This window comes from Homo sapiens, chromosome 14 (assembly GCF_000001405.40).
Source record: "Homo sapiens chromosome 14, GRCh38.p14 Primary Assembly".
Taxonomy (NCBI): domain Eukaryota; kingdom Metazoa; phylum Chordata; class Mammalia; order Primates; family Hominidae; genus Homo; species Homo sapiens.
In genome coordinates this window covers 49,683,831-49,697,343 of record NC_000014.9, presented here as the reverse complement: position 1 = coordinate 49,697,343, position 13,513 = coordinate 49,683,831, and the positions used below count along the sequence as shown (strand labels likewise).

The window sequence follows — 13,513 nt, the reverse complement described above, 5'->3', positions numbered from 1 at the left end:
GATAAATGTGTGTGTTCAGACTATTCCACTGACCAACCATTCCCCCCTCTCTCTCCCTCTCCTTGGACCTCCTTATTCCCTCAGATACAACAATATTGAAAGTAGGCCTTGCCAGGCATGGTGGCTCACGCCTATAATCCCAGCACTCTGGGAGGCCGAGGCGGGCGGATCACGAGGTCAGGAGATCTAGACTTCCTGGCTAACACGGTGAAACCCCATCTCTATTAAAATTCAAAAAAATTAGCTGGGTGTGGTGGCACACGCCTGTAGTCCCAGCTTCTCGGGAGGCTGAAGCAGGAGAATGGTGTGAACCCAGGAGGCAGAGCTTGCAGTGAGCCAAGATTGTGCCACTGCACTCCAGCCTCGGCGATGGAGCGAGACTCCGTCTTAAAAAAAAAAAAAAAAGAAAGTAGGCCAGTTAGTAACCCTACAATGGACTCTAAGTGTTCAAGTGAAGGAAGAGTGGACTGTCCCTCACTTTAAATCAAAAGCTAGAAATTAAGCTTAGTGAAAAAGGCATGTCAAAAGCTAATACAGGCCAAAAGCTAGGCCTCTTGTGCCAGTTAGCCAAGTTGTAAATCCAAACGGAAAGTTCTTAAAGGAAATCAAGAGTGCTATTCTAATGAAAAATGAGTAATATGAAAGCAAAACAGCCTTATTCCTGACATGGAGGAAGTTTTAGTGGTCTGGATACAAGATCATACAGCCACAACATTCCCTTAGGCCTGAGCCTAACTCAGAAGAGGGTCTTAACTCTCTTCAATTCTATGAAGGCTGAGAGAATTGAGAAACTGCAGAAGTTTGAAGCTAACATGAGTTTAAAGGAAGGAAGCTGTTCTTCATTACATAAAAGTGCAAGGTAAGGCCAGGCACGGTGACTCACACCTGTAATCCCAGCACTTTGGGAGGCCAAAGTGGGCAGATCTTCTGAGGTCAGTTCGAGATCGGCCTGGCCAATATGGTGAAAATACAAAAGTTACTAAATTACTACTAAAAATACAAAAATTAGCCAGGTGTAGTGTCACGCACCTGTAATCCCAGCTACTCAGGAGGCTGAGGCATGAGAATTGCTTGAGCTCAGAAGGCGGAGGTTGCAGTGAGCTAAGACTTTTCCACTGCACCACAGCCTGGGCAACTCTGTCTCAAAAAAAAAAAAAAAGTGCAAGGTGAAGCAGCATGTGCTCATGTAGAACCTGCAGCAAGTTATCCAGAAGATCTGGCTAAGATACCTGATGAAGGTGGCTACACTAAACAATAGATTTTTTTTTTTTTTTTTCTGAGACAGAGTCTCACTCTGTCGCCCAGGCTGGAGGGCAGTGGTGCGATCTCTGCTCACTGCAAGCTCCGCCTCCTGGGTTCTCGCCATTCTCCTGCCTCAGCCTCCCCAGTAGCTGAGACTATAGGCGCCTGCCACCACGCCTGGCTAATTTTTTTTGTATTTTTAGTAGAGACGGGGTTTCACCATGTTAGCCAGGATGGTCTTGATCTCCTGACTTTGTGATCCGCCTGCCTCGGCCTCCCAAAGTCCTGGGATTACAGGCGTGAGCCAACGTGCCCGGCCAACAATAGATTTTTTAACGTGGATGAAACAGCTTTATATTGGAAGAGGATGCCATCTAGGACTTTCATAGCTAGAGAGAAGTCAATGTCCAATTTCAAAGGACCAGCTAATTCTCTTGTTAGTGGCTAATGTAGTAGCTGTCTTTAAGTTGAAGCCAATGTTCATTTATCATTCTGAAAATCCTAGGGCCCTTAAGAATTATGCTAAATCTACACTGCCTGTGCTCTAACAACGGAACAAGAAAGCCTGGATGACAGCATGTCTCTTTGACAGCATGGCTTACTGAGTAGTTTATTGTTGAGAACTGCTGCTCAGAAAATCTCACTCACTGCTCATTGACAACACACCTAGTCACCCAAGAGCTCTGATGGGAGATCTACAAGATTTATCTTTTCATGCCTGCTACACAATATCCATTCTGTTGCCCATGGATCAAGGAATCATTTTGACTTTCAAGTCTTATTATTTAAGAAAATACATTTCATGGCTGGGCACGGTGGCTCACGCCTGTAAAAAATACAAAAATTAGCCAGGCATGGTGGTGCACACCTGTAATTCCAGCTACTCAGGAGGCTGAGGCAGGAGAATCGCTTGAACCTGGGAGGCAGAGGTTGCAGGAGAGATTGTCTCAAAACACACACACACACACACACACACACACACACATCAAAACTGCATTGCATGTTACAGAGAAATATTTTGTGAAAGGAAGGCTCAATGTGGCAAACTTCATTGTCTTGTCTTAAGAAACTGCCACAGCCACTCCAACCTTCAGCAACAACCACCCTAATCAGTCAGTAGCCAACTACATAGAGGAAGACCCTCCATGAGCAAAAAGAATACAACTCGCTGAAGGCTCAGATAATCCTTAGCATTTTTTAGCAATAATTTTGAAATTAGGTATGTACAGTTTTTTGTTTTTTTGTTTTGAGACGGAGTCTCGCTCTGTCGCCCAGGCTGGAATGCAATGGCGCAATCTTGGCTTACTGCAACCTCCGCCTCCCGGGTCCAAGTGATTCTCCTGCCTCAGCCTCCCGAGTAGCTGGGATTACAAGCATCCGCCACCATGTCCGGCTAATTTTTGTGTTTTTAGTAGAGACGGGGTTTCACCATGTTGGCCAGGCTGGTCTCGGACTCCTGACTTCAGGTAATCCACCCGCCTCAGCCTCCCAAAGTGCTGGGATTACGGGTGTGAGCCACCGCGCCCAGCCAGGTATGTACATTTTTTTTTTACACATAATACTATTGCATGCTTAACACACTACAATGTAAACATGACTTTTATATGCACTGAGATACCAAAAAAATTCGTATGACCTCGCTTTATTGCAGTCATACGAAGTATTCTGCAATACTTCGAGGTATGCCTGTATGTTGGTCATTTCAATATGATTCAGTCACGTTACAGGTCTGTCACATAATGGTAGGGAGACAGAAGATGTAGGTTCTACTATCAGTAGAACTTCCAGATGGCTTAAGAAAAAAAATCTGTAAACTAAGAGGGTTGGCATATAGTATTCCTGTTTTCCAGCTTTACCATTCTTGCTTCTATAATTCTGTGATTATGGACACACAACACACACATACGCTCAAACCTCCATTGTAGTAAGAATTTTAAAGCATAATATTTCTTAGCATATTATTGCTAACATGCGTCTATTTTGAGACTAGAAAAAATAGTCATTAGTAAAGAAACGCCACTAAAAATAGCTTAGAAATATTTAAAATGCAAGCCAGGCACAGTGGCTAATGCCTGTAATCCCAGCATTTTGGGAAGCCAAGGCGGGCGGATCACCTGAGGTCGCGAGTTCAAGACCAGCCTGACCAACATGGGAAACCCTGTCTCTATTAAAAATACAAAATTAGCCAGGCATGATGGCACATGCCGGTAAGCCCAGCTACTAGGGAGGCTGAGGCAGGAGAATCGCTTGAACCCGGGGCGGGGGGCGGAGGTTGCGGTGAGCTGAGATCGTTCCATTGCACTCCAGCCCTGGGCAACAAGAGCGAAACTCCATCTCAAAAAAAAAAAAAAAAGAAAAAGAAAAGAAAATAAATATTTAAATGCTTCAGTGATTTCGATATTTTATTTCGAATCGCGCCGTGGGAATAAGGAAATATATACAAAATGATACAGCACGGCGTCCTCGGGTCCTTCTAGGTCTGCGCCAGTATTTAAGGATAATAATTAATCGCGCTGTAACTGCCTTTGCATTGGGCAAACCGTGGTTACTGAATTGCTGGCAAAGAGGGGCGGAGAGTGGTAAGAGGCCCGGAGCCGGGTCTGAGGCTTTAATAGAAGAAGCAACGGCGGGACGACGTCAAGCCCTGGCGCGGCTGTGGGGGCGGCGGCCAGCGGAGGGGCTGGGGGGCTGCAGGCGCCGGGCGCGCCAGGCCTGGGCCGCAGCCTCGGGAGCGGGTGTGGCGGGCGCTGCGTCCGCTCAGGCCGAGGGTCTCCCGGCGCGAGTCTACCCCGTCCCGCCTCTTCCCCTTACCACGTAGCCCCCCCACACGTAGAGGAAGTTTCCGTCCACCACGGCGCAGTGGCCGCTGCGTTCCTCCGCCACACAGAACAGCTGAGAGTCCGCCATTCGCGCCGTCGCTGGCCCGCCGCTTGCCGCGCCACAACCCCTGCCCGCCCGGCGGCCTCGCCTCCAGCCCCGACTGCTCCACGCACGAACGGAACGCGGCGAGGGTCGAGATTGGTGGGAAGGCGGAGCCAGTGCGTCTGCAACGTCCCGCGGCTCTCGCTCGGGAAGTCGAGCCAGGGGCGGCGCGGCTGTGGAGGGACGTTCTGGCTCCTCGCAGTGGGCAAGGGGCCTGGGCTTTCCACGCGCAGATTCCTTCTCTCTTGGAATTGTGTTTTGGCAGTACAGCCTCATTTAGTAGTCAGTCTGTAGTCAGATTCCTTGATTATCTCAAAATGTCTTTTCTATAGTTGGTTTGTTCAGCACCGTAATTCGTTGTTAACGCCTCTTAAGACTTTACGTCTGTTTTACTCTAGAATAGCTTCTCTCCCTTCTCTCTTGTGCCATTTGTTTGTTATATGGATTAGTTTTCTTATTTTCCTACAGCCGTACCACCTTCTGGGTTTGGTTCCTCAGTGTCTTTTCTCATTAACTTGTGCATCCTTTCCCCATACTTCTTTTAGGCTGGAAGCTGTATCTAAAAGCTTTATTAGATTCTAGTTCAGATTTTTTTTTGGAAAATACTTCATATTGCATCACATTAGAAGGCACTTAAGTCTGGTGCACTTTAATGATACTTTCTATTGTTTATTTTTGACTATACAAATAAACAGAGTATCTGCTCCTTTTCTTACACAAAAGGAAGTATATACAGTGTTCCTTAACTTTCTCTTTTCACTTGACGATCCATATCAGGATACAGCAAGCAGTCTCCTCAGTCCTTTTCATAGCTTCATAGCACTCCACCGATTGGATGTGTCATAGCTTATTCAAACAGATTCTTATTGATGGACATATCGGTTATTTCCAGGTTTTTTTGGCTATCATAAATAATGCTGCGATGAAACGTTATGCATATGTTATTTTGTATTTGTACAAGCCTATCTTTGGAGTAGAGTTCTAGATGTGGAATTGCTGGGTCAGAGGATAAATGCATATTTAACTTTACAAATGTAACTGGATTGCAGTGGCTCACGCCTCTCATCTAAGCACTTTGGGAGGATGAGGTAGGCGGATCACTTGAGCTCAGGAGTTTGAGACCAGCCTGGCCAACCTGGGCAATCCCGTCTCTACTAAAAATACAAAAATTAGCCGGGCGTGGTGGCGCATGCCTGTAATCCCAGCTACAAAGGCAAGAGAATCGCTTTAACCCGGGAGGTGGAGGTTGCAGTGAACCGAGATCGCGCCACTGCACTCCGGTCTGGGCGACAGAGCAAGGTTCCTTAGAAAGAAAGAGAGAAAGAGAGAGAGAGGGAAAGGGAGAGAGAAAGAAAGAAAAAGGAGGAAGGGAGGGAAGGAAGAAGGGAGGGAGGGAGGAAGGGAGGAAGGAAGGAAGAAATTCAAGATAGACAAAAGTGATCTATGATAATAGAAAGCAGAAAAGTGGTCATTTGGGAGTAGGGAGGGGGAGGGGACTGATGGAAAGGAGTACAGGAAGTGTTCTGGAGTGATTAAAATGTTCTGTATCTTGATTGAGGTGGTGGTTACATGGGTGTATACATTTATCAAAATGCATTGAACTGCATACAGATATGTGCATTTTACTTAGTGTAAACTATATGTCAATCATAATTCTCACTCCATCACTTTATTGTTACTAGTAATATTGGTATTGTATTTTTGAAATGGAGCATTTGTCCTCCTGGACTGTAGAGTCTGGTGGAGTCTATAGACCAGCAAACAGACAATTACCATACCGTGCAGTAAGTGTGAAAATAGCAAAAGTCCAGGGCACCTTGGGTGTACAGAGGCCCTTTAACTCAGATTGAGGGAAGACAGGGAAGGTTCCTGAGAGAAAGTAAAGTCTAAGTTAAGAACTGAATGATGAACGGAAGTTGTTCAAGGAACTTTCATTCGTGAGAGGGAAGAGTCAAGGATATGCCTAGTTTACCAGCTTGGTCACTGGGTGGGAGGTGGGTGGAGCCCTTCGCTAGGTTATTGAACATGGGAGGAGGAACAGGTTTGGGGGAGGGCAGGGCTAATGGTGAGTTCATTTGGAGGCATATTGAGTTGGATTTGAAGTCTAAGAGAGCTAAGGGCTAGAGATAGGGATTTTGGAGTCATCAGCATATAATTGTTCATTTAAGTATTGGGACTTTATGAGCTGGCCAGGTGAAGGAGCCATAGAAGAAGTTGAAAATTTATTAGAGAAAGAGAATTATGATTGGGAACATTTATGGGAAAAGGGGAATTGTGAGGTCAGATTGTGAGAGAAAGCTGGGCAACTGGAATTGATTATTTTCTCTCCAATTTCTTAATATAAAAAGTAGCAAACCAAAAAAAGTTGAAAAAATAGTTCAAAGAGTACCTGTGTATCTTCCACTCCAGGTTAATAATTATTAATACTACCATACTAGCTTTATGTTTGTTGGTATGTGTGTGTCTGTCTTTTTCATTTTGTTGAATTATTTGAGAGTGGGAGTGCCTTATGGAGAAAATACATGTGATAAATAAGCTTCCTTCAGCTATGAGTTATAGGGCTCTTGGCCCTGAGTTCAGTGTTAACGAATCACAATGTAAAGATGTCTTTACATAAAAACACACATAAAACAAGGTTATAGGCCGGGCGCGGTGGCTCACGCCTGTAATCCCAGCACTTTGGGAGGCCGAGACGGGGGGATCACGAGGTCAGGAGATCGAGACCATCCTGGCTAACACGGTGAAACCCCGTCTCTACTAAAAATACAAAAATTAGCCGGGCATGGTGGCGCGCGCCTGTAGTCCCAGCTACACGGGAGGCTGAGGCAGGAGAATGGCGTGAACCCGGGAGGCGGAGCTTGCAGTGAGTCGAGATCGCGCCACTGCACTCCAGCCTGGGCGACAGAGCGAAACTCCGTCTCAAAAAAAAAAAAAAAAAAAAAACAAAACAAGGTTATATGTTGATCAGTTGATGAAAACATTGTCACCAGAGGCTCACAGGAACCTAATTCTGTACTTCCCCTAGTAGGAATGGTTTAGTATTCAATAATTATTTGTTGGTGGCTACTTATAAAATCTAACTATCACAGGTACAGTAATGAGAATTAACTATATGTCTTTCTATTCGTATTTCCTATCCTTTCTTACATAAAAATTAAAAATTTCTTTGTACTTTTTGTCTTTGAAAAATATTTCACTAAATAAAGAGAACTGTGTTCAAAAATCACTTGTGATGTTATGTTACCAATTTAATATACAATTAGGTGTATTAGTTTTAGTATGCATTCAATTTTAAGCTCACCTTTTTATTTTCTATTTTTTGAATATGTAAAACATGCACATGGATTAAAAGTCTCACTGTAAAGAAAGTTTTCACTTTCATCCCTATCCCCTCACCCCTTTGTAGTTAACCATTTTTGTGGTCTCTGATTTAACCTTCCAGAGTTGTTTTGTTGTTGTTGTTGCTGTTGTTTTGAGACAGAGTCTCACTCTTGTTGCCTAGGCTGGAGTGTAATGGCCCCATCTCGGCTCACCGCAACCTCTGTCTCCCGGGTTCAGACAATTCTCCTGCCTCAGCCTCCCGAGTAGCTGGGATTACAGGCATGCGCCACCATGCCTGGCTAATTTTTTTGTATTTTTGTAGAGACGGGGTTTCTCCATGTTGGTCAGGCTGGTCTCGAACTCCTGACCTCAGATGATCCGCCCACCTCGGCCTCCCAAAGTGCTGGGATTACAGGCGTGAACCACTGCGCCCGGCTTTTTTTGTTTTTGAGACAGAGCCTTGCTTTGTTGCCCAGGCTGGAGTGGTGGCACGATCTCGGCTCACTGCACCCTCCGCCTCCGAGGCTCAAGAGATTCTCCTGCCTCAACCTCCCCAGGAGCTGGGATTACAGGCGCGCGCCACCACGCCTGGCTAATTTTTTTTTTTTTTTTTTTTTTTTGGTAGAGACGGGGTTTCACCATGTTGGCCCGGCTGTTCTCGAACTCTTGGCCTCAAGTGATCTGCCAGCATCGGCCTCCCAAAGTTCTGGGATTACAGATGTGAGCCACCGCGCCCGGGCCCAGAGGTTTTTAAAATGCAAAAACAAATACATATACTTTTGTTTCCCTTCCTTCATTAAACTTCGCTTTTTTTTAAAAAAGAAAAAAACCCGTATACGTTGGAGGTCACTTTATATTGGTACTGTGAAATCATCCTCCTGTTTTATAAGCCGCGTGTTTACTTATAAGCACTCCACGGGTTAGTCAACTCATTGGAGCAAGCGTTTTGAAGTGTGGCAGATTGACAGTCCACCTGAAATCAGAATAACTGAGTTCAAATCCTGACTACACCATTTAACTCGTCGTTTCATCTTGAGCAAGTCCTTTACCATTTTTGTGTCTCAGTTTTCTCATCTGTAAAATGAGGCTGTTGTGGAAAAGACAGTAGACAGCTCACTGGGCTGTCATGAGCAACACATGAATTCACACATTTAAAGTGCTTATGACAGTGCATGGCGCATACGAAGCCCTCAAGTTAAATAAAAATCGGGGTAGGTGGGAGCGATGGAGATTTATAACAGCTTCCGGTAAATGTCGAGGCACAGTATTTCCAGAGCTTGTGCGAAGTAGGGAACCCAACAGCTCTCATGGCCTCGAAAGAAGGGGGATCCTGTGTCCGGGAAGCTCGGCCGCAGTCCTGCAATGTCTAGGGCAGCGGTGAGAGCGCTGTGGCTGGCTCAACGCAGCCCGACACCAGGGAAGACGCTCTGGCCCTCAGTTTCCCGGCAGCAAAGGAGCGCGAGGTGGTCTCCACTTTCAGCCTACTCGGTCCGGGGTTGCGAACTGTAAGGTCTGAGTTGCTGCGGCGCAGGCAGCGGAGACCAAGCAGGGATCTTAACAGGGTTTAGCGCCACGCGGGCCAGGGCCGAGGCCGGAGCTGGGAGGGGCGCGCCCGGGAAGGGGCGGAGCTGCGGCGGTGGCGCCAAATCGCAAATATGGCGCCGGAGCGGCTGCGGAGCCGGGCGCTCTCCGCCTTCAAGTTGCGGGGCTTGCTGCTCCGTGGGTGAGTGGGCTCGGGCAGCTTGAAGGGCGAGAGGGAAGAGCTGGGGCCCGTCTGCCTGGTGCGGCAGCGGGACGCACCGCGGCGGCTCCCCGCGCGCCGAGAGGGGGCTTGACCTTAAATTTCAGAGTTCTAAGAAGCGGTCGGGCGCGGTGGCTCACGCTTGTAATCCCAGCACTTTGGGAGGTCGAGGCGGGCGGATCACGAGGTCAGGAGATCGAGACCATCCTGGCCAACATGGTGAAGCCCCGTCTCTACTAAAAATACAAAAATTAGCTGGGCGTGGTGGCGCGCGCTTGTAGTCCCAGTTAGTTGGGAGGCTGAGGCAGGAGAATCGCTTGAACCCGGGAGGAGGAGGTTGCGGTGAGCCGATATCGTGCCACTCTACTCCATCCTGGCGACAGAGAGAGACTCCATTAAAAAAAAGTTCTAAGAAGCGAGGTGGATCTTGAGGCTGCCGTGCCTTCTTTGGTTTCCCCGACCCATGCGAGGAGTTTAATGTTTCTTCTAGGCGGGCCGAGGCTCTTCTGCACATGTCAAACTGAGCCCGAGAAGCTGCAACCTATCTATGGCAGCCGGTTATCAACATTGTGACCTGGACAGCTCTCAGGCTCCCGGGAAGGTTGCTGAGACATAAGATGAGAGACCCGAGAAAGCCCACTTGCACGTCTGCAGTTGCCAATTTATGTGAAAGTCAGGTTTCCTGGGCATATCCGTGTTTTTGAGGACCTATAGAACATATGAACCTTCCCAAGATTTCTCTCATTAAATCTGCTCCGTGTTTTAGAGTTCTATATGTACGTGTGTGTGTGTGTGTGTGTGTGTGTGTGTGTGTGTGGTGTGTGTGTATATATATATATGTATTTTTTTTTTTTTGAGTCATGGTCTCACTCTCGCCCAAGCTGGAGGGCAGTGATGCGAACTTGACTTACTGCAGCCTCAACCTCCTGGGCTGAAGTAGCTGGGACTGCAGGCATGGGCCACCATACCTGGCTGATTTTTTGTTGTTGTATGTTTTTTAGAGACGGGGTCTGGCTATGTTGCCCAGGCTGGTCTTGAACTCCTGGGCTCAAGTAGTCCTCGCGCCGTGGCCTCCCAGAATGCTGGAATTACAGGCGTGAACCACTGCGCCTGACCTAGAACACAATATTTTATACATATTGAAATACCTGCTGGATTGGATATACCTCTCTGTATCAGTTTTTATTGCTTTTGTGTGTGTAGATTTTTGGTTGGTTTTGTGAGTTTTATGGGACTTTTAACTGTGCTTTGGGAGATGCCTTGGGAGAAAATAATGAATTTTGTTCAATTGGTCCTTGACATTTTGAAAGCATGAGGAACTGATGAATTAACTTTCTTTTCGCTTAGAATTTGACCTAATATTAAGCTTTTGTTCATTAATTATTTCAGTCATAAGTATACTTAAATCTGTTAGCTGCAAAGCACCGTGCTGGGGTAAGGGGGTGCAATAGAGAGCAAGAGCTTTGTAGGGGGCAGATAATGTATTCTATTGCTGCGTGACAAATTACCCCACAATTTAAAGGCTAAAACAGTACACATTATCTCAAATTTTCTGTGGGTTAGGAATTCAGGTGTGGCTTAGTTGGGTCCTCAACTTCAGGGTCTTTTCACAAGGTTGCAGTCAAGATGGATCATCTCAAATGTTGTCCAGACAGCATTCGCTTCAAGCTCATTCAGTTGTTGGCAGGATTCAGTTCCTGATTGCCTGGCAGGCTGTTGGCTGGAGGCTATCCTCAGTCCCTTGCCATGTGTGCCCCCAACATGGCTTCATCAAGAGAGAGAGTCTTCTAGTAACTCTGAGGCAACCTAATCAAGGAGGTGACATCTTGTTATTTTTAAATTTTTTTTACTTTTAAATTTTACTTTCAAAATTATAATACAGTAAGTTATTCTATCCCTTTTGCTATATTCTATTTTTAGAAACAAGTTACTAGGTCCAGCCCACACTTAAGGGCAGGGGATTACATAGGTGTAACTACCAGGAGTAATGGATTATTAGGGGCCATCTTAGAAGTCTGTCTACCATGGATATTAAATGACTATTTTACAGCTATTTAATCTCAATTGTGAAAGGGATTCCAGGAAAGAAGGGCTATGAGAGTTTATGATAAGGTGTATAAACTGCCCTAGAGTCAAGGAAGAACTTCACTGCAGAAGTGGTTTGGGCTGACTTAAAGAATGAGCAGGACTTGGCTGGGCGCAGTGGCTCACGCCTGTAATCCCAGCACTTTGGGAGGCTGAGGTGGGCGGATCACGAGGTCAGGAATTCGAGACCGGCCTGACCAACATGATGAAACCCTGTCTCTACTAAAAATACAAAAAAAAAAACCAACCAGCCAGACGTGGTGATGTGCACCTGTAACCCCAGCTACTCAGGAGGCTGAGGCAAGAGAATCGCTTGAACCCGGGAGGTGAAGGTTGCAGTGAGCCAAGATTACGCCACTGCACTTCAGCCTGGGTAAGAGAGCGAGACTCCATCTCAAAAAAGAAAGAAAGAAAAAAAAGAAAGAACAGGACCTGACTAGGTGGAGAGAAGAGTGGGAGGAAATGGCCATATAAAGACCCTAAAGCAGGAGAGTGCCAGGAAGGCCAGGGACATGGTATGAGCTTAATGGGATTTGGCAGGGGCAAGATTCTGTATGGCTTTACAGGCTTTGGTCTATGCTAAGAACTGTCCCAAGATGCAACCAAAATGTATATGATTTTAGGGACTCAGTGGTCAAATATTTATGGACCACCTTCAAGTGTATTTAGAACTCTGTGGAAGGATGGCACAGAGTTCTAAGTTACAGTTTTAAAGTTATCTATAATTCAGTTCTCAGTTATCTATAATAAATTTGAGAGATGCAACACCTACACACAAAACAACTAATAAAGCAACCCAATATATAGAACAATTAGTGTTATGGCTATAACAATAATATGTGAAATGTTAAATTGTGTGCTACAAATACAGAATGGCATGTAATTAGCTAATTGTTTAATATTGTAATCAGCAATAATATTGATGTGAGGTATAAAGTGTGCTACAAATACAGAATGGCATGTAGTGGCATGTAACTAGTTAATCATGTTCATTCTGATCATTGTTGGGATTTAGGTAAGGAATTAATGTGATTTTATTTTATTTATTTATTTTTTTTGAGATGGAGTTTCTCTGTTGCCCAGGCTGGAGTGTAGTGGCCCGATCTCCGCTCACTGCAAGCTCCGCCTCTCAGGTTCACTCCGTTCTCCCTCCTCAGCCTCCCAAGTAGCTGGGACTACCGGCGCCCGCCACCATGCCTGGCTAATTTTGTTTTTGTATTTTTAGTAGAGATGGTGTTTCACCGTGGTAGCCAGGATGGTTTCGATCTCCTGACCTCGTGATCTGCCCGTCTTGGCCTCCCAAAGTGCTGGGATTACAGGCGTGAGCCACCGCGTGCCCAGCCATGATTTTTTTTTTTTTTTTTTTTTTTTAATGATGGTCAGACTCCATGAAGCAGGTGGCAGTGCCTTACCATATGTGTATTGTCAGGCCCGAGGGCCTCTTCCATCTTTGTCAAGTGGAGTGCCAACCTCTCCTTTCGTATAACACAAATTCATGTGATTTTAATGAGTGTTGCTTCTATGATTATATTCAAATGTCATAGTTTTTTAAAGCCTTTTTTTTTTTTGAGACGGAGTCTCGCTCTCTCGCCCAGGCTGGAGTGCAGTGGCGCGATCTCGGCTTACTGCAAGCTCTGCCTCCCGGGTTCACGCCATTCTCCTGCCTCAGTCTCCCGAGTATCTGGGACTACAGGCGCCCGCCACCATGCCCGGCTAAATTTTTTGTGTTTTTAGTAGAGACGGGGTTTCATCGTGTGTTAGCCAGAATGGTCTTGATCTCCTGACCTCATGATCCGCCCGCCTCGGCCTCCCAAAATGCTGGGATTACAGGCGTGAGCCACCGCGCACAGCCAAGCCTATTTTTTTTCTTATTTTACAATTGAAAACAGTGATTATTGGAATTTACTTTGAACAAGTGCATTATCAAATTAAATATATGAGTGTCTTATGTTCAGGATATGGTGCTTGACATTGAAACAGATGGACTCTTGCCTTAAATGTAGGGTAGTAAGTAATAAAAGGCTAATGTAATATATCAGATCTAAGGTATATGTAAATGTGATTTTTAACAATTTCAGAAGAAAGGGGAGATTGCAGCAGGTAGAGCTGGTCTAGGAAGCCTTCTTAGAGGAAGGATGTGATTTGAGGCTTTATGTTAGCAAGGCATAGGAGGATGATTTTGTTCAGAAAGCACAGGAAAGA

The 13,513-nt window shown here is 45.8% G+C and overlaps 2 protein-coding genes and 1 pseudogene across 11 annotated transcripts in view, besides 5 other annotated features; 1 reads left to right on the top strand and 2 right to left on the bottom strand.

Annotated features, from left to right (window-relative positions):
* The window catches only part of KLHDC1 (kelch domain containing 1), a 60,031-nt gene extending 55,807 nt beyond the window's left edge, over positions 1-4,224 (bottom strand). For both annotated transcript variants that reach the window (NM_172193.3, XM_011536422.3), the window contains exon 1: positions 4,054-4,224. In NM_172193.3, coding sequence (NP_751943.1) covers positions 4,054-4,149 — 96 coding nt within the window. In that variant the 5' untranslated portion in view covers positions 4,150-4,224. The remainder of the gene's footprint in view (positions 1-4,053) is intronic.
* Positions 3,850-4,019: a silencer, noted in NCBI's record as "silent region_5704". NCBI's record gives its function as "represses an Ori minimal core promoter by ATAC-STARR-seq in GM12878 lymphoblastoid cells {active_cell/tissue: GM12878}" and the evidence as "EXISTENCE:reporter gene assay evidence [ECO:0000049][PMID:35858748]".
* Positions 4,030-4,079: a silencer, noted in NCBI's record as "silent region_5703". NCBI's record gives its function as "represses an Ori minimal core promoter by ATAC-STARR-seq in GM12878 lymphoblastoid cells {active_cell/tissue: GM12878}" and the evidence as "EXISTENCE:reporter gene assay evidence [ECO:0000049][PMID:35858748]".
* Positions 8,372-9,131: an enhancer, noted in NCBI's record as "H3K27ac-H3K4me1 hESC enhancer chr14:50154931-50155690 (GRCh37/hg19 assembly coordinates)". NCBI's record gives its function as "activates a minimal SCP1, AML or CMV promoter by ChIP-STARR-seq in naive H9 embryonic stem cells {active_cell/tissue: H9 hESC(naive)}" and the evidence as "EXISTENCE:reporter gene assay evidence [ECO:0000049][PMID:30033119]".
* Positions 9,018-9,067: a silencer, noted in NCBI's record as "silent region_5702". NCBI's record gives its function as "represses an Ori minimal core promoter by ATAC-STARR-seq in GM12878 lymphoblastoid cells {active_cell/tissue: GM12878}" and the evidence as "EXISTENCE:reporter gene assay evidence [ECO:0000049][PMID:35858748]".
* POLE2 (DNA polymerase epsilon 2, accessory subunit) overlaps positions 9,130-13,513 on the top strand; it is a 44,660-nt gene continuing 40,276 nt past the window's right edge. For all 9 annotated transcript variants that reach the window (XR_007064016.1, XR_007064015.1, NM_001197330.2 and 6 more), the window contains exon 1: positions 9,130-9,208. Coding sequence is in view for 6 of the 9 variants with exons in the window: in NM_001197330.2 (NP_001184259.1) it covers positions 9,141-9,208 (68 nt within the window). In the remaining 3 variants the exon portion in view is untranslated. The remainder of the gene's footprint in view (positions 9,209-13,513) is intronic.
* Positions 9,132-9,893: an enhancer, noted in NCBI's record as "H3K27ac-H3K4me1 hESC enhancer chr14:50154169-50154930 (GRCh37/hg19 assembly coordinates)". NCBI's record gives its function as "activates a minimal SCP1, AML or CMV promoter by ChIP-STARR-seq in naive H9 embryonic stem cells {active_cell/tissue: H9 hESC(naive)}" and the evidence as "EXISTENCE:reporter gene assay evidence [ECO:0000049][PMID:30033119]".
* RNU6ATAC30P (RNA, U6atac small nuclear 30, pseudogene) lies at positions 12,679-12,800 on the bottom strand (annotated as a pseudogene).